The 25,732-nt window shown below is 36.4% G+C and overlaps 1 protein-coding gene across 9 annotated transcripts in view, besides 1 other annotated feature; it reads left to right on the top strand.

The window, feature by feature from the left end:
* ROBO2 (roundabout guidance receptor 2) overlaps positions 1-25,732 on the top strand; it is a 1,743,290-nt gene that overhangs the window by 266,842 nt on the left and 1,450,716 nt on the right. The gene's annotated exons all lie outside the window — the stretch shown is intronic.
* Positions 24,527-25,143: an enhancer, noted in NCBI's record as "OCT4-NANOG hESC enhancer chr3:76247194-76247810 (GRCh37/hg19 assembly coordinates)". NCBI's record gives its function as "activates a minimal SCP1, AML or CMV promoter by ChIP-STARR-seq in primed H9 embryonic stem cells {active_cell/tissue: H9 hESC(primed)}" and the evidence as "EXISTENCE:reporter gene assay evidence [ECO:0000049][PMID:30033119]".

Here is a 25,732-nt window from a genome sequence, read left to right on the forward strand (position 1 = left end):
CCCCACCCCTGACAGGCCCCAATGTGCGATATTCCGCTTCCTGTGTCCATGTGTTCTTATTGTTCAACTCCCACTTATGAATGAGAACATTCAGTCTTTGGTTTTCTGTTCCTGTGTTCCTTTGCTGAGGATGATGGCTTCCAGCTTCATCCATGTCCCTGAAAAGGACATGAGCTCATTCTTTTTTTATGGCTGCATAGTATTCCATGGTATATATGTACCACATTTTCTTTATCCATTCTATCATTGATGGGCATTTGGGTTGTTTCCAAGTCTTTGCTATCGTAAATAGTGTTGCAATAAACATATATTTGCATGCGTTGTCTTAGTAGAATGATTTATATTCCTTTGCGTATATACCCAGTAACGGGATTGCTGGGTCAAATAGTATTTCTGGTTCTAGATCCTTGAGGAATTGCCACACTGTCTTCCACAATGGTTGAACTAATTTACACTCCCACCAACAGCGTGAAAGCATTCCTATTTCTCTGCATCCTCTCCAGCATCTGTTGTTCCAGACTTTTTAATGATCACCATTCTAACTGGCATGACGTGGTATCTCATTGTGGTTTTGATTTGCATTGCTCTAATGGCCAGTGATGATAAGCTTTTTTTCATATGGTTGTTGGTCGAATAACTGTCTTCTTTTGAGAAGTTTCTGTTCATATCCTTTGCCTGCTTTTTGATGGGGTTGTTTGCTTTTTTCTTGTAAATTTGTTTAAGTTTTTTGTAGATTCTGGATTTTAGACCTTTGTCAGATGGATCTGTTGCAAAAATTTTCTCCCATTCTGTAGGTTGCCTGTTCACTCTGATGATAGTTTATTTTGCTGAGCAGAAGCTCTTTGGTTTAATTAGATCCCATTTGTCAATTTTGTCTTTTGTTGCAATTGCTTTTGGTATTTTAGTCATGACATCTTTGCCCATGCCTATGTCCTGAATGGTATTGCCTAGGTATTCTTTTAGGGTTTTTATGGTTTTAGGTTTTATGTTTAAGTATTTAATCCATCTTGAGTTATTTTTGTATAAGGTGTAAGGAAAGGGTCCAGTTTCTGTTATCTGCATATGGCTAGTCAGTTTTCCCAGGATCATTTATTAAATAGGGAATCCTTTCCCCATTCGTTGTTTTTCTCAGGTTTGTCAAAGATCAGATGGTTGTAGATGTGTGGTGTTATTTCTGAGGCCTCTGTTCTGTTCCATTGGTCTATATATCTGTTTTGGTACCAGTATCATGCTGTTTTGGTTACTGTAGCCTTATAGTATAGTTTGAAGTCAGATAGCATGATGCCTCCAGTTTTGTTCTTTTTGCTTAGGATTGTCTTGGCTATATGGGCTCTTTTTTGGTTCCATATAAAATTTAAGGTAGGTTTTTCTAGTTCTGTGAAGAAATTCAATAGTAGCTTGATGGGAATAGCATTGGATCTATAAATTACTTTGGGCAGTATGACCATTTTCACGATATTGATTCTTCCTATCCATGAGCATGGAATTATTTTCCATTTGTTTGTGTCCTCTTTTATTTTATTGAGCAGTGGTTTGTAGCTCTCCTTGAAGAGGTCCTTCATGTCCCTTGTAAGTTTTATTCCTAGGTATTTTATTCTTTGTAGCAATTGCGAATGGGAGTTCACTCATGATATGGCTCTCTGCTTGTCTATTATTGGTGTATAGGAACGCTTGTGATTTTTGGACATTGATTTTGCATCCTGAAACTTTGCTGAAGTTGTTTATCAGCCTAAGGGGTTTTGGGGCTGAGATGATAGGGTTTTCTAAATATACAATCATGTCATCTGCAAACAGATGACATGATTGCAATTTGACTTACTCTCTTTCTATTTGAATACCCTTTATTTCTATGCATGCTAATTGTTTTAAGCTTTAGTATCTTATTCCAGACCTATATTTAAAAATATTTTGGGTTCTAGTCTGAACGTTGATTGAGATAATTAGCTTATAGAATAAAATTTATAACGCATTTTCTCTAAAAGTTTAAACATGCAACTCATTTTCTCATGAAGCAAATAATGACATAATGTAGGGACCTCAGCTAGAGAAAGATGGTCAAAATTTTTTTCTACACCATATGTCTGTAACAAGGTTACCAGAAAGCTATACTCCCTATCCTTGCCTCTTGGATCTCTGGAACTGCTGGTTCCTGACTTTGCCCTAGTATTTTTATTTATACCTTGAGTCAATAAAAGGAACAATTGCATGGAAGAAGTCTGTATTTATTGAAAACTTCTACCGTGTGTGTTTATTACCCAAAACCCATAGTAATACTTCCATGACTGATTCATCTCAGAAACCAGGGCCAGGAAAACATTACTTTTCCCTCCTGGATGAATATGCTTTCTGGGCAAGAGAAGTTCTCTCATCCTATGTAGTTTTTCTTTCCACCTTTTAGCAGAAAATTCAGAAGAATTACATATGCTCAAATGTGGCAATCTCACTCAGCCAGAATTTTTTATTTTTTTTTCTTCTTTATAGTTCTTAGTGGCTGCCTCTGAATTGTATTGATATCATTATAAGTTGTCAAAAATGTTTTATGGAAACAATAAAATCCATGTGTCCTTTGGGACACATGCTGCTTCTCTAAAATGGTTTTTGTGTTATACATTATTTTAATTTTTCTCTTTTTTCCCAGATTAGTAAAATCTGGAAGTCAAGGGCGCAGCTTTATTTTTTGTTCCTCCATGCAAGCCCATCTTTGTCACCACCTCCACCGCCACCTTCACAGCCTAATAGAGAACTGATTGCAATGTGTTTCATACTCTGAATAGTGTGTGAAAACCTCTGAGTATGGTATCTTTTGTATTATTATGCAGAAAACATATTTTTGAATAGCTGCTGTGCTCCAAGGACAGGGATAAATAAAACTATTTTACAGCTTTCCAGTTGTTCATAGAAATTTTGTGGATAGTCATGAATATTACAGTAGCACATGATAAACTTCTACACTAAAGGGAGCCAGGAAGTACTAAGAGAATACAGAATGGTACACTTTTATATTGATTATTTAAAACTTGGAGTACAAAACAGTGAGATTTGTGGAAAAAAAATCAGAAAAGATTTTTCTCTAAGGTCTAAACAATGGATCTGTTAGGAGGAAGATATTAGGTTCCTCAAAACTCTGTTATCATCTGGGAGACAACTAAAAATACTCCTTTTAATTATTTTTTATTTTTTGCATTTTTTCCTCATTTTCTTACTTGATTATTTGTTTCCAAATAAGGGTAGCTAAATAACAATCAACAATATTCAAAAACCCGTTATTAATAAAGGCCATTATTAACAGTCTCTATTAATCTTTATAACCATCCAATAATATGTGTATGTCATTTCCGTTTTATAGTAGAACACTCAAGTGTAGAGAAGTTAAATGATTCTGTAAAACTATACAACTACTAAAGGGTAAAACTAGAATTTGAACCGAGCTCCCTTATTATTAAAAGCTTTATTCTCTGTACTTTATATTGCAGTCATATCCTCATCATTTTAGTTTTTGCCACAGTCTCCAAATCTTTTCAGAAAACAATAAAAAAATTGTTTTCAGTGAATGCAATTATAGCTACAAATTTCTGTATTAATACTAGTGTGTACTTCTCGTTATTCTCACTCATTGCCATTTTTTATGTCTAATGTCAGATACACATCTCAAAAGCTCTATGTATTTTGCTAAAGATTTAAGAAGATAATCCTTTATTATATAAGGAGAAACATTTTTTGGAAGGAGATGGTATCTTAAATTGGGTATAATAAACATTTAAATTTGATTGTGTAGTTTATTCATCTGGATAAAAGAAGAAAATGCAAGTTACATTCTTTGACCTGTCATTTTCAAAAACAATTGGACCTAATTCTAACTATTCAAACTTATACTCACTTGAAAGAATTCAATTCCACTTAAACAGAAGATTAGTGTTGAAACAGTATGGGGAGCAATGTTGATATGTTTGGGCTAAGTAGCTGTCAATGACATTTTGTAAATATCTGGTTTATGAATATGTTGATTAGAAAATACGAGGCTTGATCATCCTGCTGGGTCATCTGGTGGGATTTTTGCTCCTTCTTAATGTTCTTTTCTATTTTTATTTTTGGCTTATTACCTTTTTCTCCTAGCTAACTAAGGAGATGTTCTATTTTACATGCTAATTGTAATTCCCCTCCCACTCCAAAGTCAGTCTATTTCTTTTATATCGTCCCTGCCAGCTGCAAGAGAAAGACAGACAAGATGAAGCCTTTTTATTGTCGGACACTGACAGAGCAGAGAAATATAGACAGATGGATAACAGATAGTAGGGTTCTAAGTACCCTACAATTTATTGAGGCAAATAGAGGAGAGCTGAGTGGCAAATTACCTACACTGTTCACAAACCAGCAGGCAGCCCTGTTTGCCAGCTATCCGAATTGTTTCTGGGTAATTTGGCACATTTCTACTTTGTTGTGCTACGTCTAAAGGTATGACTTTGAGTTTTGAAAATTCCCTGTTGTGAAAGGTCTGCCTAACAACAAGCAACATTTGGAATGTGATATTCAGAGAAATACGTGTATCTCTATTTGATAGCTCCCCAAAAAGGAGATTTGAAGCATGATCTTTTAAAATATTACAAGGATGAAATAATTTATTTTAGTTAATATTATAGACTTTTTTCCTTTCCATCTTAAAAACTTACCATCCACAATATTCACACTTGGAAATCTGACTTTGATGATGATATTGATGAATCTCAGATATAAAAGTTACTTTTCAAGTCCGTATTTCTCACCATGTAGCAGTTTTAGATGAGCGTCATACAGCAATGCTATAGGATAGTGAATTACAAATTAATATTTCCCAAAAATAGCTTTGCAGTATACTCTAGAGGGAAAAAAAGGAGAGGCGATAAGAAGACTTGAAGCTTAAATTGGTGTAGAAAAACAATGTTAAGCAGGAGTTTATACTACAGGATTTTGTGAAGCTTATTATACATTATTGTTCATCTTAAATCTCTATAAAGGGAACACAGAAAATTATTTTTCTCACAATACTACTAGTTTTACCAGGAATCGTGGTCCATGAATCACTCATTAGAATAATTATCATAGGCAATAATGTGGCACAGCCTTCTAAGTAGTTTGAGTCATAAAATACTAACACATAAAAAAGAACCTTGGCTGGATGCAGTGGCTCACGCCTGTAATCCCAGCACTTTGGAAGGCCGAGGTGGGGGGATTACAAGGTCAGGAGTTTGAGACCAGCCTGACCAACATGGAAAACCCTGTCTCTACTAAAAGTACAAAATTAGCTGGGCATGGTGGTGCATGCCTGTAATCCCAGCTACTCCGGAGGCTGAAGCAGGAGAATCGCTTGAACCTGAGAGGCGGAGGTTGCAATGAGCTGAGGTCGTGCCATTGTACTCCAGCCAGGGAAACAAGAGCGAAACTCCATCTCAAAAATATAAATAAATAAATAAAAAGGAACCTTGTTCTTCAGAGCTTTCATGTTCACACTGCAAACTTTCCCTCAATAAAGGGTATTTTAAGTTAGAAAAGTTATTAATATCATTATTTGCACTATAAGTATTTGACGCCAAATATTTCCTAAAATAACTTAGAGCAGCTCATTCGGAATTAATGAGACATATTAATTTGTCTCATTAATAATTAATAATGAGACATATTCCTGATGGCCTACTAGAGAGCAAGTGGTGTGACAGACACTGGGGATATAGCACTGAACAACATGGGTGTGGTCACTGGCTTCATGGGGCCTCCAGTCTAATTAACAGGTTATCACAGTCTACCTGAAGACTTTCAAAGCACTGCTATTTAAAATGCCCCAAAGGGCATGAATCTTCTTTCCCATGCCCACTGCAAACCTACCTCTTCCCCAGTGTTCCAGATGGTTCTATAGATGGCATCATCATCTGAATTACTTAAGTCAGGAAGCTAAAGTAACCTCTAGTTTTCCATCCTCCTTACTTCCCACAGTTAATCATTGAGCCTTATCAGTTTTAATTCCTAAATATCCTTTCGTTTCTGATACTTCCTTCAATCATCACTGCCTCCGCTCTTATACATCACCATCTTCTGTTCAGAACACTTCTGTGGCCTGCAAACTTGGCTTCCCGTATTGACTTTCCCTTCTTCCAATTCATCTGCCTGGGTATAATCAAGGTGATACTACAGTCTTATTTTCTTCTTTGCCTAGATCTGATTTAGGCATTCTATCCAGTTTTCAGCTGAAACCTCACTTTCTCAGAGATGTAATGCCCAAATACAAACTTGGCTTGGTTTTTCCTATATTATACTTACACACTGCCTTGAATATTTGATGGAAGGGGGGTTGGTAACAGTGATAACACTTTTTATAAAGTGGTGACTTCCAATTTGTTTCACTAAATTATAAGCTCCTTAAGGACAGGGTCTGAGTCTGCATTTGTTTACAACTATAGAACCGGTACCTGATTTAGCTATGATAAAAATGCTTGGAAGTTATTTATTTCGTCCGTGCCATTGCTTCTGCTGCTCCGGCAGGGTGGAATTTTATATCCCTCTTTTCCATCTATACCTCCCCACCTGCCCCAAAATAAATTTCTATCCTTCAAGATTCAGATCAAAGGTATTTCCTCAGTGAATTCTGTTATTGTGAATGCCCCAACAAGTTCAGAATTAATCAGTCACAAAATACGTTTTCCTCTGTTTAGCAGTAATAATGTCCATCCCTCACCCAAGGCAATGATAATCTTCCCTAATGCAAATGTCTTGCAGAGTACTTTGTGTAATGAAAACTTCTAATAAGAACTTGTTGAACTGAAGTAAGTTTTGCTGATTCTGACTTTGCTGACTTTATCTGATTAAGTAGAAGCAGGCACGTATCCAACTGCTTAATTTGATGACACCAACCAAAGGAGTCTCACATAAAATATTGAAAAGAGAATTCTTCACTCACCCCAAATTTGTGCTTCCTGAATCTTCACCATCTAATTAAATGGTACCATCTTCCATTTTCTCAAGTAGAAACTTTGGTATCTTTGAAGTCTCACTTTTTCTCACCATCCTCCTATTCCTTCTGACAAATCCAACGGCAAGTCCTGTTACTCCTCCCTCCAGTCTTTTGATTCAATATTCCTTCTATGCCTGCTGCAACGATCTTATTTCAAGCCAAGCTAATTTCTTTTCCATTTCTTCACAACCATTTCACTGAGTTTGCTCCCACCCTTAACCAATTCACTCACTACACAGAGCAAATAATATATTTTAAAAGCATGAATCAGATTACACAACTCAACTGCTTCAAAACTTTCAGTGGTTTTCTATATCATCAAGATTAAAGGAAAACATCTTACCATCCTACAAGGCCCTGAATTTTCTGATTATCACTACCATGTGAACTGCTGCTTCAGCCACCCCACCTTCCCACTCTCCCCTATCTGCCTCACTGAATTTCTTTCAGCTCCTAAAGCGAGTCAACCTTTTCTAGCCTGTATTCCTGACTCTACTCCTTTTGTCTGGAATGCACCATTTCTACAGTCTACATGACCAACAACTTCACTTCCTTAAGGGCTCAGTTTAAATGTCAGCCTCCCTGAATTGCTCTGACAATGCTACCTGAATTAGGGCACTTTCTTTTCAATATCTTATACCTTTATCTCCTCATAGCCATTATTACAACTGCCATTATTTGTATTTGCCATTTGCTTGTTTGTTGCCTAGATTTGCTTGTGGAATGTAAAATTCCACAACAAAAAGTCAAAAAAGAGAATTATACACTAAGTTTTGTAAGAAATAAAGGAGTGTTCAGATTTGTTAATGTTGGATTAATTTTTTATTTAATTTCAATTGTAATTGTATAATATATCTAAGAATATGTCTACTTGTAAGAACAATTAAAAGAAAGGAAATTCAAATGAGTCGATTCAGCAGATTCTGCCATTGTTTCTAAAATAAGACTTTTGGTATGATGGGAAATTAGAACTCTCTAACTCCCTACTGACTTCCATGCTTTAAAATGCAAGCAGCCTTACAATGTGATAACTAGCGTACATTTCTGAAGATATAATATTTTGTATGTGTTAATTGCATTTAGGATATTTCCTATGCTTCAAGTAAAATATTTCAATGACTTTACTTTCAAATAATTACTAAGATTCCACTGCACTATTTAGAAAAGGTTAAAAATTTTCATTCTCTTTTTAATAGTCATTTCCTCATTTTCTAGCTAGCTTTTAACCTCAGTGCCATTTTGACACAGATTAAAAATATCCTACACCAATCATGAGATGTTTGACCTTTTATGTCCTAAAAAAAAAGGATATAGAAAAGGATGATATCATCTGTAGAGGGAGTATGTTCAACTCTATAAAAAATCTCTGCATGCCACATTTTTATTATGTAGCTTTATTCCCAGACCATTTTCCCCTTGTGTATTTGTGTCATGAAGATGTTTGATTCAATTTTATGTATTCATATGTCTCTTTTTATTTCTAACAGGAAGCATTAATAAGGAAGAAAGATTAGGAATGAGTTTTTGAGTTCAGTGTATGAGAACTAGGATATGTATGGCATGCTTAGTTTGAAATGAAGAAGGGCCAGGAGCATTAGATGGCTAGATAATTGAGTTGTAGCAGCCTAGACGCTGAATTAATATATTTTCAATGAAAAGAAAGCAATTGAATTTCCTGTGAACTCTCTGTAGTTCATAACCAGTTTACATTGGCCTTTTCTGGTCAATTTGTTTGTGCAATTGTTTGTTTATTTAGTCAATTACAACCTGTCCCTTAGGATTCATGGTAACCTTCCTGAACACATATATCCTTTAATTCATGATCCAGAAACTGGAAATACGTTTTTCTCCATATTTCTTCCTCAAATAGCAGAAATAAAAGTGTTGGCTTGAACTCTTTTAGTTATTATATTCAATGGCAGTTTTCTGTAGCTGGGGAGTGACGAGCTAAGACAACATGAAAGTAGGCTCAATTCAGGATTAGGTTGTGTTACCCTACTTAGTGATTAGAACTTCTAGGCCTTGCTAAAATATTGATTAACCCCTGTGTCCCTCCAGTAAGCCTTCTAAATCTCTATAGGAGCAAATGCTCTACAAGTTGACGGCTCCATATGGACTATTGTGAATTACATTGTGCTCTCTTACACTTAATCTCTGCTTATCACTCCGCGACCAACCAATGCCCTTTGAATGACTATAGTACACCTAAAGTCAGGAGGCGCAAATTAGAGATTCAAAACTAATATCCTTCCTTGGACTGCATACTCTTCCTTTTGGAGATTGGGGATATCTCCCAAAGTGGTGTTAGTTTTTTCATGATTTGAACAAAAAGTGGTTTTACGTTTTCAATTACGATATAATATTTGAACCAGCTTTATCACTGGAAACATTGTCTGCTTGTTCCTGGTGTCTATTTGCTCTATAACAAATTTCCTTGAAACTCTGTAGCTAAACATAATGATCATGTCATTGTCTTTTAATTTTATGGGTCAGAAATTTGGGCAGAGCTATGTTGGGTGATTTTTCTGTTTCAAGTGATGTTAATTGCTTTGCTTGATGGAATTTAGCTGGCGAATGAGCTGTGTAAGAGGATCAAAGAGCTGTCATTCACATATCTGGTGCTTTTTCAGTGACAGCTGAAACCTAGGTTCAGCTGTGCTGTCCAGCAGAGTGTACACAAATGTCATCTCTAGGACAGCAGTCTTAGGACATTCCAACTTCTTACATGGCAGCTCAGAGGTCCTGGAGACAGCAATTCAAGTAACCTAGCAGAAGTCTGCAAGGCATCTTATCACCTGTGCTCAAAATCTTAGACTATCACTTCTGCTCTGTTGTATTGGTAAAGCAAGTTACTGAGGTGAGCCCAAATTCAAGAATAGGAGTTAGACTCAACCTCTCAATGGGAGAAATAGCACGGTACTTGTGGCTATCTCTAGCACTGCCCAACTGTCTGTTATACATAATATATATATGGTCAGTTTTACTATAGTAGCAGAGTGGGTCAATTAAAAATTCACCTTCCTTATCATTTCTTCATTTATTTATTCATTCATTCATTCATTTGTTCATTCATTAAACAAAGATTAAGTAAAGAGCTGTCATATTACATGCAGGCACTCTTCTAGGGAGTAGAGAGACAGAGAACCTAAAATTTAATTTCTAGTAGGGGCAAGCAGAAAATTTAAGGATACACTCTACTCCGAATATTCTATTGGCTTATTTTTGCAGTCTTCACAACAGCCCTATGAGGCAGATATTATCATGTTTATAAGTTGAATTATAAAAAATAAAGTTCTTAGAGGCTAATGTTGCTAAGTTCACACAGCTCTATTTAAAAATTAAATAAATAAAGATATTCAATTAGATCTGCCTGCGTCCAGATTCTATGCATTAAGAATGATTAATTTGATTTTGGTAGCAAGTAAATTTTATTGTGAATTACAAAATAACTCATTATTTCTTGAATAATTTAGAAAATACAGTAAAGCAAAATGATAGTAGTAAAAAAGACCTATATTTCTACTTCTCAGATGTATTCAATCTTTCATTTGTGTGTGTCCCCATATCTGTCCACGATTGCTATGTAACAAATCATTCCAAAACTTTGTGGCTTAAAATAACAACCATGTATTTGGTTCACGTGTGTGTGGGTTGTTAATTTAGACTGGGCTCAGTGGGTCTCTTCTGCTTCTCCAGTGGGCTTTCTCATGCTTCTGTGTCCAGCTAGGTACTTTTGCTTCTGGGTAGGCTGGCTGACTTCTAGGGTACCACAGGCTCCTCACACATAGTCTCTCCTCCTCCAGTGGGTTGCCCTGGGCTTGTTAACTTGCCAACGATCCGGTTCAAAAAGAGAAGACAGAAGTATGCAATGGCCCTTGAGGTCTAGACCCATGACTGGCATATCAGCACAAAGCAAGTTGGATGACCAGCCCAGATTTAAGACCTGGGGAAATTGACTTCAAGTCTTGATCTCTTCATGGGAGAAGATGCAAAACACATTTCAAAGAATATTGTATTAGGGTACTCCAGAGAGACAGAACAAATAGGAGATAGATAGATAGATAGATAGATAGATAGATAGATAGATAGATAGATAGATAAGAGGGGATTTATTAGGGGAATTGGCTCATGAGTTCTGGAGGCTGAGAAGTCCCATGGACAGGCATGTGCAAGCTATAGACCCTGAGATGCTTGGCTCAGTCCAAGTACGAAAAACCTCATAATCAGGGAAGTCAATGCTGTAATTCTCAGCCCAAGGACAAAAACCTGAGAACCTGGGAGATGATGGACACTGGTGTGTAAGTTCTGGACTCCAAAGGCTGAGAAGCCTAGAGTTTTCCAAGATAGCAGAGAAAGAGTGTAACTCAGCTCCAGAAGACAGACATATTTGCCTTTTTTTCTGTTTTTGTTGTCTCTGCATCCCCTGCAGATTGGATAGTGCCTTCCCACATCGATGGTGGCTCTTCTCTACCTAGTCCACTCAGATTCATATGCTAGTCTCCTCTGGGAACACCCTCACAGACATACCCCCAGATAATGATTTATCAGATTTCTAGATATTTCTTCATCCAGTCAAGTTGACACCTATAGTAAATCATCACAGGTATGGACTCAGAAAATAGTAACAAAATTGTAGCCATTTTTTAATCAATGTGCTACAACTCTTCCATTTTTTTCTAGGCTTCTATAAGTAAACACAGATATATATATATATATATATACACACACAAAGATGTTATATATACATATTTATGTAATATGGATATACTGTCAACAATAGCTTGGTAAACATTATTTACTGTTTTTATAAAGAAACCAATCTATTATCATTGCTTTAAGTTGCATCTGTTTGATTACTTGCAAAATTAAATATATTTTCACATGTTTATTGGCTACTTGATAGCATTATTTACAGTGATGTGCTGGGATGAGAGAAAGGAGGCAAAAAATTATTTGGGAGCATTTTGCAATTATGCAGTGAAAAGAAAATTAGCACTAAAGCATCAAAAATGGTCAGCATGGGAAGAGAGGAGAAAACCGTTGTGAGAACAGGACCCAGGTGGCATGACTGCTGCCCAAATAGACAGAGAGAGCATTAAAGATCAAAGGTGCTTCTGAAAAAACTGGAAGAATGAGGATGCCATTAATAGTTAATACAATATTATTTGTTACAATTCATAACATAACATTATAATGCACAATTTTAAAAATTGCCATAATTAGCATAATTGTGAAGTCGGAAGGAGAAAATAATTGTATTTAAAAAGTTCACTCCTGAACATTTTTGACAATAAGATACCATCAGAACACCAAATGGAGATATTAAGCAGGCAATCTATATTGGATTATAAAGATGTGTTAGTTTATTCAACAAACTGATGGTGAGAAAATATTTGACTTTCCAAAGGAATAGATTCATTTCTCATTAAAGGAAACACAGATTTTTTTTTTTTTTTGAGACAGGGTCTCACTCTGTTGCCCAGGCTGGAGTGCAGGGGTTTTATCACAGCTCACTGCAGCATCAAGCTCCTGCAATCAAGCCATCCTTCCACATCGGCCTCCCAAGTAGATGGACTACAAACATGCACCACCACACCTGACTAATTTTTGTATTTTTTGTAGAGATGAAATTTCACCATGTTGTCCAGGCTGGTCTCAAAATCCTGAGCTCAACCAATCCACCCACCTCAGCCTCCCAAAGTGCTAGGATTACAGGGGTGATCCACCATGCCTGACCCACAGATATTTAATAAGACTTGAATCATAGTGCATTTAAGTGGCAGAAGAAGAAAAGGGGCAAGCAAAAGACATTGAGAATTAAGCCGTGTCATAGTATAATTTCTATCTCCTTCCCCCATACCCTCTCTCGTTTCAATTCCATAATGTACTTGCCCTCAATTAGTGATCAGTTCTCGTACTTGGTTGTTAAGAATAAAAGCTCTCATGTGTCTTTACCTTCCAGCACTAAACCTAAAACTCACCAAAATGTCTTCCTTTCATCTTCCACAATGAAAGGAGTATCTGTTTTTCTCACAAGAAATGCTCACTGGATCCCATTCCTCTCTGTCAATAGTTCACCCTTCTCCTGGCTGCTGTCTCTTCAGTGTCATTTGCCTCCCACTTTTTTTCCAAATCATCCCCATAAGTAAAGAAATATCCTCTAGTATATACCATCTGCAATAATAAAAACATCTCTTGTCCTCATATCTGTCTCCAACCACTTCTACATTGTGTTCCCTTTCTAGCAAAATTTATTCACTCCCTTGTTCTCTCTAATTCATCTCCAATTCATTCACTACCTCTAAGTGCTCTTATTCTACTCTGACCACTCTTCAAAGTCATTAACAACCACCATGTTGCCAAGTCCAGTTTATTCTCACCATCTCATTCGACTTCTCAGTAGTGTTTGACAGTGAATCCTTACATTCATATTGAAACATCTGAAACATCCTCCTGTCTCATCATTCACTCTCTATTTTCTTCTAAATTCACTGATCCTTATTCTTTTTTGGCTTCTTCTACCCTATGCCATCCATAAATATTAGAATTTTTTGAAACTTTTTTCAAGACTTAAAAAAAAAACTTTGTCAATTTTCTTGGATATAAACATTGTCTTTGTGCTGAAGTTTTCCACACCTATACCTCTGGCCTAGGCACTTCTCTGAGCTGAAAACAAACATAACCAAATATTTGCCTGGAATCATCACCTGAGTATTTCACATATAGTTCTGACATTACATCTTGAAAGCACTCATTGGTTTTTGTTTGCTTGTTTTTGTTTTGTTCTATTTTTTAATGAGACAAGGTCTTAGTCTGTTGCCCAGGCTGGAGTGCAGTGGTATGAACATGGCTTATCACAGTCTTGACCTCCCAGGCTCAAGGAATCTTCCTATCTCAGCCTCCTGAGTAGCTGGGACAACAGGTGTGCACCACCACACCCAACTGATTTTTTAATGTTTTTTAGAAGTGAGGTCTTGCTGTGTTGCTCAGGCTAGTTTGAATTCCTGAATACAAACCATCCTCTTGCCTTGGCCTCACAAAGTTCTGGGATTAAAGGCATGAGACACCATGCCTGGCCAAATTGTCTTTTCTCTTTCCTATTGTGTGTTTACTGTCACCTTTCTCTATGTCAATAAATAACAACATGATTCATTCATTTATTCAAACCAGAAACAGGATTGATTTTAATATTCCCCTCACCTCTTCAATCTAAGCAGCAGACATTTCTGTTGATTCTGTCTCTAAATGGTACCTTGAATATGTCCACCTCTTTTTACCTCTTCTCTTGGAATCATCAGGTTCAGCCTCTCCATATAGAAGCAAAAAGTGAATTTCAGAACGCTGAATTGGGTCACATAATTCCTATGTTAAAACCTATCAAAAGAACCCATTGGTGAACCTATTGCACTCATGGTAACACTCAAGCTCTTAGTAAGATTTAAAAGCCCCGAATAATATGGACACTACATAATTTCTAAACTCACTTAGTGCCACTTTTCCTATATCTGACAATAATCTGTGCACTCAGATTGCAAAGTGGTTTTCTAGAAGGCTTCTCTAGGCCACCCCGTTAGTTGACAGTGAATGCTTCCATCTCTCCTACTGTCCATGTGGCTGTTCTTTATATTGCTTTTTAGTTGTCACATTCTCAGTGGGCCAGTTATAGATTGAAGTGTCCCCCAAAAGATATATTGAAGCCTACAGTACCTTTGAATGTGACCTTTTTGGAAACAGGGTCTTTGTAGATATAATTAAGCTAAAATGAGGTCACTAGTGTGGGCCCTAATCCAATATGACTTAGGGCTTTTTAAGAAGGAGAAATTTGAACACAGAGACAGACACATACAGAAAAAAAGATGAAGATGATGTAAAGACTTACACAAAGGAGACGGGCATGTCATGATGGAGGCAGAGAATGGAGTATTGCATCTGCAAGCCAAGGAATAACAAGGATTGCCTGCAAACACCTCAAGCAAGATGAGACTAAATAGTACTCTCCCACACATGCTTGAGGGATATGATGCTGCTGACACCTTGATTTTGAACTTCTACCCTCTAGAGTTGTGAGGGAATAAATTTCTGTTGTTTTAAGCCACTGAGTTTGTGGTACTTTGCTACGGAAGCCCTAAGAAATTAATAAAGGGCCTCAAACCCCCATGCTATCTAACCTGTTTTGTTTTAGATTACCTTTTATGATTTATTTTCCTTCAAACTCTATTGCACCTAAAGTCCTAGCATGCATCAGTCTGTTTTGGTGATAGTGGTTTCCTTTTCTGCAGTCAAGGACCAAGCTTTCCATGTTCACACTCATATCTCCAACTTTCTGCCTAGTATACAGGCAATCATCAATGCATTATTTGCTATAAACATGAAATAAAGATACAGTGTTGGAGAAGTCAAGGAAAAGGAATAGCTCAGTAAAAAGTGAGGGTTATGAATGTCAAATGCTGCAATGGAATCATAAGCAAAAAAAGGTTATTGTATCTTGTAATCCGTGGAAGCAGTTGGTGACCTTTGAGGGATCAGTTTCAGGCAAGTGGATATGGTAGAAAACACATCATAGGAATAAACACTGAGTCAGCAGTGAAGAAATGTGGGAGGCAGGTGTAGGTTGCTCTTTCCAGAAAGTTGGCAGTGAAATGAGGATGTATAGTAAAACAAAGCCTCAAATTTTCTTTGCATCTCTATCTAACTAAAATGGGAAATGAGTACTCAAATATGAAGGCTATGTTTCTGGTTTATTAATTATAGTAGAGACAAGCAGAGATTCTAGATTTGAAGAGAAAGTATTCAACACAATGGGAAAAAAAGGTGTTTTTATGAATTAAGTGAAGAATTTAGGAGAAACCAAAATCATTAATGAGGATAAAGAGTAGATGCCTTTGGAAAGTTTCTTCCTCAAGAATAAAAATAAACCCAGATAATGATAGAAATACAGAAAGTATCATAGACAGCATCACATAGTGGCTTCTATTTTGCTTTTTGTTTCTGTTTGCTTTTTCAAACATATGTTCCCTATTAGATTTTAAACATTTTTCAGATCCAAGATTCTCTCTGTACATACAAAACAGGGTAAAATATATATTTTAAGACATTCTCTTGTCTTAAGCCATATATAGTTTGTATTTAGTGGAAAAGTTCTCATTCTTAATTTTATGCCCAACTTAAAACCTGTTAAATACTTTATGCTCAGCAAGAGGTGAAAAGTTATTTTCATGAAGTCATTTTCTATGAAAAGAAGAGCTGGTTTTAACTGAGTGCTTATGGTATGCCAGGCTCTCTGCTAAGGTTTTAAACACATTTTATCGTTTCTTCTTTGAAATAACACAAAGGGATAGGTGTGTTTTGTTTCTATATGCAGATGAGAAACTGAGGTTTCGAAGGATCACTTGTCTAAAGGCATACAAAGAATTTGCAGGAAATACATGCCTGTCTCCAGAGCTTCAGGCCTAAATCTGTGTGTTAACTGCCCAGAGATGTACAGAACACTTGCGTAAGAGAAAATTCCAGTTTTATGTTCAGCTGTATTTTTTTGAAGTTTTATTATCTGTTAAAAAATGCTATTTTCTATAAAAGCAGTAATAAGCCATGCCTCCATGCCTCTGCTAGCTTTCAACTATGCTGATGATCGGCTTGATTGTTTATCTCACAATATCCTGTCTATATTCTTGACAATTTTTCATTTCTTGGGTTTTTAAATGATAAAAACAAAAACTTGGTTTGAATACAACAAAATGATTGACAAAAGATATTCTAAGCAATAAAATCTCCAATTTCCTTGTTTCTGGTGTCCCTCCCGAAGAGGTGTGTGGCAATAGTGAATCTCTTTTAAATTAATATTGATGTGTCCATTTGGAAACTAATAAAATCTTATGCCTTCCACAGTTGGTAGCAATAAAAACGAAGTATGTATCATTTAAGGTGGCCTTAATAGCTGGCACTGAGGCTGAGTCAGATTTTATAAGCATTTTAAATTATATTACTCAGCAATTATTGTTAGCATGGACATTGTTATATGTGATTATCTAATGCTTTAAATTATTTAAAATCAATATGTAGTTCTAAAAGCTTAGACATATAACTTTAAAATGGTCACATGAACTCATTTGACACCATGTTAATGTTTCTGTCTTATTTAGCCTATATTTACACCTTGTAAACCAGGTTAATTTAAACATTGAAGATACAAACTACCATAACTTTACAAAATGCATGAATATTACCATTATAAGGAAAAGAAGTAATGTTATGGACAATAAAGTATCCAAGATTGTCTTATGCTTCCCATTGCTGTACCTAATATTTTCTTTCCCTTTCTATACCGAATTTCATTCAAATCTTGACGTCAAAGAGAGACACTATATATGCTCAGTTATTTAGGTAGTTAATTTATTAGTTCGTTCATATGCCAGACTTGATGTTTTTTGATTGCTTAGACTTTTTTGTAGGCATTCAAAGGTTTTGCATGCTTAATTTAAAACATTTTAAAGAACAGCCTTTGAATGGGTTATATTAATCGCACATTAAGAGCGATTAATAGTGGGATCACAGTTGTATCAAGATAGCAACAGTAGAATATTATATTTAACAACTCTTAAGTGGTGCTAATGGGCAGGTTTAGACTACAGAGCAAGGAGAATCTATAAGTGCAAATACAGATCTTGCTACACATGATTAAGTAAAATGAATGGGGTAATTAAGAAGTAACTCTAGGCTTAAATATTACACTGAATTCTTAATATGCATGTGGTGCCTACAAATATAATTTCAACATGGCCTCATCTCTTCATACGTGAAACTCCCTTTGTGATCAATACGCGTCCCAGGTTTATTCTCAATGACAGGTTTATTCTCAACGACAGCTGACCTACACCAGGTAAATAGCTTCGCAAATCATGTCAGTACTGGGAAGGATACTCAGAGGTTATCTTGCCTATCTTTCTGCTTTCCAGCAAGGTCATACTTAAATCATCCCAACAACTCAGACATCCCGTTATTAAAGCTTGTCAGAATATGTCTTAGCCCTCCTTGTTTGATTATATAATATTTAATAATTCTCAGTATATTCTTCTTTTTTATTCATTCATTCATCCACTACCTTTAGTTCAATTCTGCATTATAAAATTAATTTCCTGCTTTGATTTTTCTGCAGGAGAATACACCTATTCTCTACAAGCGGTTTTTCTTTACTCTTGGATTCTTCAACAGGATGAATGAAATTAGAATTGATTTTTTTTAAAAAAGAAGGCATACATAACATTCCCTTTGTTCCAAATACTTCTTTTTGTAATATTTCTCACATCCCTCTGCCAGGAAAGTTGCCATATCTGTCACACCTTCTCTCTTTATTTCCTTTCTAATGAACTAGATGTGATAGTCTGTCATTCCAACTATTTTCACTCCAATAACCTCAACTCTTTCCCTATTTTGCTTGCCCCATGTATACAGGGTGAAACTCCAGTGCTCAACTTACCTGTCTTCACTTTCTTCAGGCCTATTATTGGACTATAGATTGCAATCTAGAAAAATTATTGGTTTCCAACAGTAACCTCACCTTCGATTGGCTTACAAATCCCGCTATTTCCCTAGTTAGTGCCCTTAGTTACCTGACCTTCGATTGGCTTACAAATCCTGCCATTTCCCTAGTTAGTGCCCTTAGTAACCTGACCTTCGATTGGCTTACAAATCCTGCCATTTCCCTAGTTAGTGCCCTTAGTAACCTGACCTTCGATTGGCTTACAAATCCTGCCATTTCCCTAGTTAGTGCCCTTAGTAACCTGACCTTCGATTGGCTTACCAATCCTGCCATTTCCCTAGTTAGTGCTCTTATTTTCTAAAGTTACTATTCCCATCCTTCTCCATTCTTTCAAACCTTTCCTTTCAAGCTTATTCTTGTTGGTATAAAAATAAATAAATAAAAATAAAATCTCCTTTCCTAGCACTTTTCTCCTTACTATTATTTTAATTTCTAATTCACAGAAGAAATGAAATCTTCAGGAATTCTCTAAACTTTGCGTCCAACACTCCACCACACACACACACACACACACACACACACACACACACACACACACACGTCATAAAAGTTTTTTTTTTACATTTATACCCATCGTGTCCTCCTGTTAAGCAGAAGTTGTTCTTCCTTCAATCTAGGGCTAACTTCTCTATGTCTGGATCTCTTTCTTCCCACATGATAAATTACTTCTGAATTGTGATAACTTCAATTTATGTTGGTACCATCCTGTCACTATTCAATCACATTTAAGTTTTTTCATTTTATCAAAACAAATAATACAATCTGTCTATTTCATCTCTCTACAGCTTTACTCTTCTTTCCTCCACTTGACAGCCAAGTGTTCACAAGAGCTGCTTACACTTACTGTATTTCTTACCTTTCATTCATAGGTCAATTTATGCTGCCCAGCTTCATTCTCTACCAGACTATTGAACTGCTTTCTCAAAGGTCATCAATAATAAATATGGTAAATAAGTTCAGTTATTATATTTACTTGACTTCTCAGTAGCATTTAACACTGAGGGTCATTCTCTCTCATGGAAACACTCTCTTTGAGTGGTTTCTATAGCACCATCTACACTGATTTATGACCATTCACCTGATACCATTTTTGGAGGTACTTCTTTCTCCACCCATCAGTTAAAATACTGGTTATCTGTAAGAATTATCTTGTAGCTGTGTTTACTTGGGATCACTCTTTCCTACTCCCATGGCACCAATTAAAGTCTTTGTATTTGGTGGTATTCACTTTCAGATATGTTTCTGCTCTTTCAACCCACACATACAGCTAGCTACTAGATAACTTTACTTTATTCTCCAGTCAGCTTAAATTTGCTGTGTCCATATCTAAGCCTGTCCTGTTACTTGCAAATAATTTTCTTGCCCTGCAATCATTCTCCCAGTGAATGGTACTACTACCATCTGTTAGTTGTCCAAACAGAATATTGGGCATGATATAAATTTCTGTTATCAAATGCTGTTGTTTTGATTCCCCAGCCTTACCTTGTTCTAGGGCACAATTATAGATGATGATTAACTCCTTTCCCTTTCACTTCCTCCAATTGATTATCTATGTTGCAAGTAGAAAATAATTTGTTCATTTAGTCTTGTTGGCATATGCCCATAGGGGAAAATCTTTCGAAACTTACTCTTAATGAATGTAAAGATCAGACATTTGTCAGTGAGACATATTTTAAGCTTTCATAAAATGGGAAATATCTTCCTAGAAAATGTTGTGTGAATACAAAGCTGGACTTGTTTACTGGCCACCTTTATTCAGATTATTAATTGATCATGTGACCTCTTTTTTTTCTTTTTGAAACTCTGGCCAGACTATTTACCATTTTATTGAAGAACTATGTGTTCTATTTTCAGAATTAAGACTGTTATACACATTATCACTATTTTTTATCACAATCCTCTTTTCAAATAAGGAAGGTGAGTTTCAGGCAAGTTAAATAAACAGTTCAAGTTCTCACAGCCAATAAGGAAAAGAATAAGGATTTGAACTCAGATCTCTCTGCCTATAATGCCTATTATTATTCTGCTGTTCAGCAGCATTTCCTAAGATAATTATTATTAAAACAAGAATTGAAAGATTGAATCTAGTAATGCAAGTTTAATTCTACATTTATTTTAATATTAATTTCATTATGGGGGTGTTTCTTCTTCTTCTAGAGAAAGACTAACATTTTATTTTCTATTGTTATTCCTGTTTTGCTTAAAGAATATTTTCCTAATTTCATTATTGTTTAGCACATATTTTAGTTTTTGAGATAGTTTTATTGAATCTCTCCTCTCTTTTTATGTATATATATCTATATAAATATGTATGGTGTGTAAATATATATATATATATATATATATATATATATAGTGTGAGGACAAAGCTGGACTTGTTCACTGGTAATCTTTATTTGGATTATATTTTATGAGTGCTCCTGCACAAATTTAATATGGGAATACAAATCATTCAAGAGTCTTATTGCTGTCTGCATAGTCACTGAGGACATATATTTTTAAGTTTTATGTAATAAACTCTATAAATTAAGACAAAACAGCAAGTTAATACCGGAAGGACTGTAGATCTAATCAATACCTGACTTTAATGTGATTTTTTTTTTTTTTTAGACGGAGTCTCGCTCTGTTACCAGGCTGGAGTGCAGTGGCACAATCTCGACTCACTGCAACCTCCGACTCCCTGGTTCAAGTGATTCTCCTGCCTCAGCCTCCTGAGTAGCTGGGACTACAGGCGCCCGCCACCACGCCCAGCTAACTTTTGTATTTTTAGTAGAGACGGGGTTTCACCATGTTGGCCAGGATGGCCTTGATTTCCTGACCTCGTGATCCGCCCGCGTTGGTCTCTCAAAGTTCTGGGATTCCAGGTGTGAGCCATTGCGCCAGGCCTATAGTATGATTTTTTAAAGGTTGACTTTTGTCAACATGCTAGCTGACATAAAAAGGAGTAGTTCATTAATATTTGAGTTCAATCTATTATCAGTTTGTCAGTTTTTTTTCCTCCCAAAAAGGGCACCATGTTTACATTTGTGAATAGTCAGGCAACTTGTCTTAATCTCATTGAAGAACAATAGTAGGATTAATTAAAAAGATATAATGATGTTTCCTTGAAAACAAAATTTCACATGCTATCTCATTGAATCCTTGCAAACACCTTGAGTATTGGGGATATTGGATTCGCTTTTCAGATAAGGAAATTGAGACAGAAAAATTAGATTACAGCTAAAGATTATTGAAGGTGAATATAAACATGTAGTTAAGCCATTATAAAATTCTGGTTTATATTTTAAATAAGACATGGTCCCTGTCCATGAGGAACTCACAGATCACCTGACATTTTAACAAATCTTTGCAAAACCAGTGTTATTTATGGAATTACATTAGGATCAAATATAAAGGATTGCCAATCCTTTAGGCAAAAAGAGGTGGGATATTGTCAATTTCATAGGAATGAATTTAAAATGTATGCAGACTATTTAGTGGTGGTTATAGAAGAATGTGATTATTTGTGCCCAGTTAAACCAGTAAAGCCTTCAGAGAAGAGAAGATACATAATTGTGTGTTGAAAGGAGTTCTTAGAGAGTTTAATAGGCACATAAAGGATGAAGGGGATGCTTAGTAGATACACACATGAAATGTGGAGACATCAAGTTAAACAGTTCAAGTTGTCAAAGCCAATAAGGAGAAGAATAAGGATTTGAACTCAGATCTCTCTGCCTATAATGCCTATTATTATTCTGCTGTTCAGCAGCATTTCCTAAGATAATTATTCTTAGGCAAAGGCAAAGGACAGCTGCAAATGGATGCAGCAATTCAAGTTGTGCATTGCAAAGGGGTGTGAGGTTTAAGGAAGTGCCACTTACGTCTTAGCCACATCCTTAGTTTTATAAGGTAGGGTCAGAGACTCTGGACTTCATGATGGGGACCTAGAACCCTCAAGAAGTTTCCCTTCTCGCATAAACCCACCCCAGCAAAGAGTGTAATACCCTCTCATAGGATTGCAATGTGCACACACTCTTTGTCACAGACAAGGAGCCTGGGTACATCAGTGCCTTTTCCTGTTCTCACTCTGGGAGTCCCCACAGGTTACTTCCCTTTCTTCCTACTATGAAGGACCTGATTCTTATTTCCCATTTTAGCCAAGAAGCTAAAATGTTTCATACAGAAGAAATGGTTATCAATGGTGCAAGCTGCAGTAAGGCTGATGATACTGACTTAAAGTCTAACAGCAATTGAATTCTTGGTATTTACCTGGCACTATCCTAAGAATCATATAATCATTGCCTTATATAATATCCATGACAATAAAAGAATAAGTATTCCTATTTTCCCCGATGTATAGTCAGCTGTACCTTGGATGAGTGTTTACTGGGGGAGAGAGAAACACATATATATTTCTCAAGAATTCCTACAGGAACATTTCTGTTTGGATTGCTTTTAGTTATTATTGATCCTAAGTGACTGAACATCCACATCTCAAAGGGTTAGTCTAAGAAATGAAAAATGAGAGAAAATACTCTAAATAATAATTTTATCCTAAAATTCATGTTTCTGCTGTGAGATTTCTCAGAGGTAAACTATAATTCGCTTAATGTCTTATTCCTGTCTTTTTGCATGAAAAAAAGTAAATTCTGTAAGGAAAAACTGGCAAAGTTCAAGCAGGTTTTGAAAATTGGAGATTATATTATATAATTACATCTGAGATGTAAGGATGTTATTGTCATGTCTTTTTATTCTGCTCTTTTCCCAAGGCTCATAAAGCCATAAATCACCATTCTGAATAAATTGATATGTGACATTAATAGTAAATTGGAGGAAACAATTTACCTCACTATAAATGCTCACTAGGTATTAAGTAAATGGATAACATATTGTGATTTAAAATAGACCCCATGATATGCATCTAAATTTAGTATGCTTAAGTGATGGCTTTCCGTTTAATGATTACATACTTTACACATGTTGATGCTTCTAGTGCAAATTGAATTGTGACCTCAGCCTCAGTTAAGTCGCTGGTTATACTGTTGTACCCAGCTGAGTGACAACAAGGACTTTCTCCTTTTGGGGAGTGATAATCCACTGAGCTAATCAGTCTCTCTATAGATTTGGATCTGGGACTGCCTTTCTCCTTTTGGGGAGTGATAATCCACTGAGCTAATCGGTCTCTCTATAGATTTGGATCTGGGACTGCCTTTCTCCTTTTGGGGAGTGATAATCCACTGAGCTAATCAATCTCTCTATAGATTTGGATCTGGGCCTGCCTTTCTCCTTTTGGGGAATGATAATCCACTGAGCTAATCAATCTCTCTATAGATTTGGATCTGGGCCTGCCTTTCTCCTTTTGGGGAGTGATAATCCACTGAGCTAATCAATCTCTCTATAGATTTGGATCTGGGCCTGCCTTTCTCCTTTTGGGGAGTGATAATCCACTGAGTTAACCAATCTCTCTATAGATTTGGATCTGGGACTACCTTTCTCCTTTTGGGGAGTGATAATCCACCGAGTTAATCAATTTCTCTTTAGATTTGGATCTGGGACTGGATATAATATACTTTAAACATAAAATAAAATTATTGTTATTACCAGTATCCTGTTTATTTTCCTAAGTAGTGAAGGTATTTTTTTAACATAATGCTCCAAACATATGTGAAAGTTACAGTTATCTCTGTCCTACATGTGAGGAAATAGAGGATTCATGAAGTTAACTGGCCGAAGTCATGTAGTAAGTGAATGGCCGAAATAGAATTTGAATTCATCTCTAAGTAATTCTAGAGCCAGGATGTTTTGAAATCTTGTTGGGCATATGGACACTTGATGTGCCAGCTATTTTTGCAAAGGGTGAGAAAATATCTTAAATCCTCTGAGAACAATATAAGTATCCTGGTTTTACCTATGATGACCACTGCAGTTTTGACTTCTGCCACTCCTTTTTGTACTTTAAGTTCTAGAAATTCCCACCAACTCTTAATATCTGAATCTCACTGTAAACCAAAGTACAACTGTAAGCACCCCAACCGACTAAACGGATCCCTCCTCTAGGCCGAGAGTTTTCCAAAGAAACCAGAAAAGCTAGTTCAGGACATGGTGGGAAGGGGAGATCAGACATACCTCATCACACCCTCTTCCCTCAGGACATGGTGGGAAGGGGAGATCAGACATACCTCATCACACCCTCCTCCCTCAGAACATGGTGGGAAAGGGAGATCCGACATACCTCATCACACCCTCCTCCCTCAGGACATGGTGGGAAGGGGAGATCAGACATACCTCATCACACCCTCCTCCCTTTGGAATTTAGGCACAATTGATCAGCATTAACATGAAAACAGAGATCTTAAGACTGACAAAATAGACTCTGCAGCAATAAGATGCCAAATTCCAACCTGACTTTCATATAGCATCACATGGCAGACTGCATGTGATGAAAAGAAATTACTGCATGAAAGAAATTACTTTACCCCAAAATGTATTTCTTTGACATATTTTGAAATGGCTCTGCAAAGGGGTCTCTTGTAGGGGAAGTATACATTATATAGCGAATCCTCTTCCCTTACCAGGTCTTTTTCTGATCCTGAATAAATTAGCTGACACTCTAGCACCTTTTAAAGGTCTGAATAAGAAATATTTGCCATCTATTGCCTCTGAAGGTGGCCATCTATGAGACTTCATCTACATAGTAAGTACCTTGGTCTCCACAATGCCTTATCTTAATCCAGACACTCCTTTCTATTGATTCTAGGTCTTTAGATAGGTCTCTTTCAACCAATTGCCAATTAGAAATTCTTTTAGTTCACCTATGACATGTAAGCCCCACTCCCACTTTGAGGTGTCCCACATTTCCAAACCAAACCAATGTACACCTTGCATGTATTGATTGATGTCTGCCTGTAACTTCTGTTCCCTTAAAATGTATGAAATTGAACTGTACCCCAACTACCTTGGGTACATGTTCTCAATGGGGCTGGGCTATGAGTCCTATTCTCACATTTGGCTTGGAATAAATCTTTTTGAATATTTTACAATGTTTGGCTTTTTTCATCAACATCACCCTGTACTTACAGGGCCTCAGTTCTTTTGCAACAGGCTGTTGCCTCAACCTTGAAAGCCCTCCCAGTCTGCCACCCAAGCATTCACATCCATACACCCAATTATCAGATCATTCCTCAAATGTGTATGAGATTCCTATTTGTACCATAGCAGTAAGTGAGAGAAAGCCACCT

The sequence above is a fragment of the Homo sapiens genome, chromosome 3 (genome assembly GCF_000001405.40).
Source record: "Homo sapiens chromosome 3, GRCh38.p14 Primary Assembly".
Taxonomy (NCBI): Eukaryota; Metazoa; Chordata; class Mammalia; order Primates; family Hominidae; genus Homo; species Homo sapiens.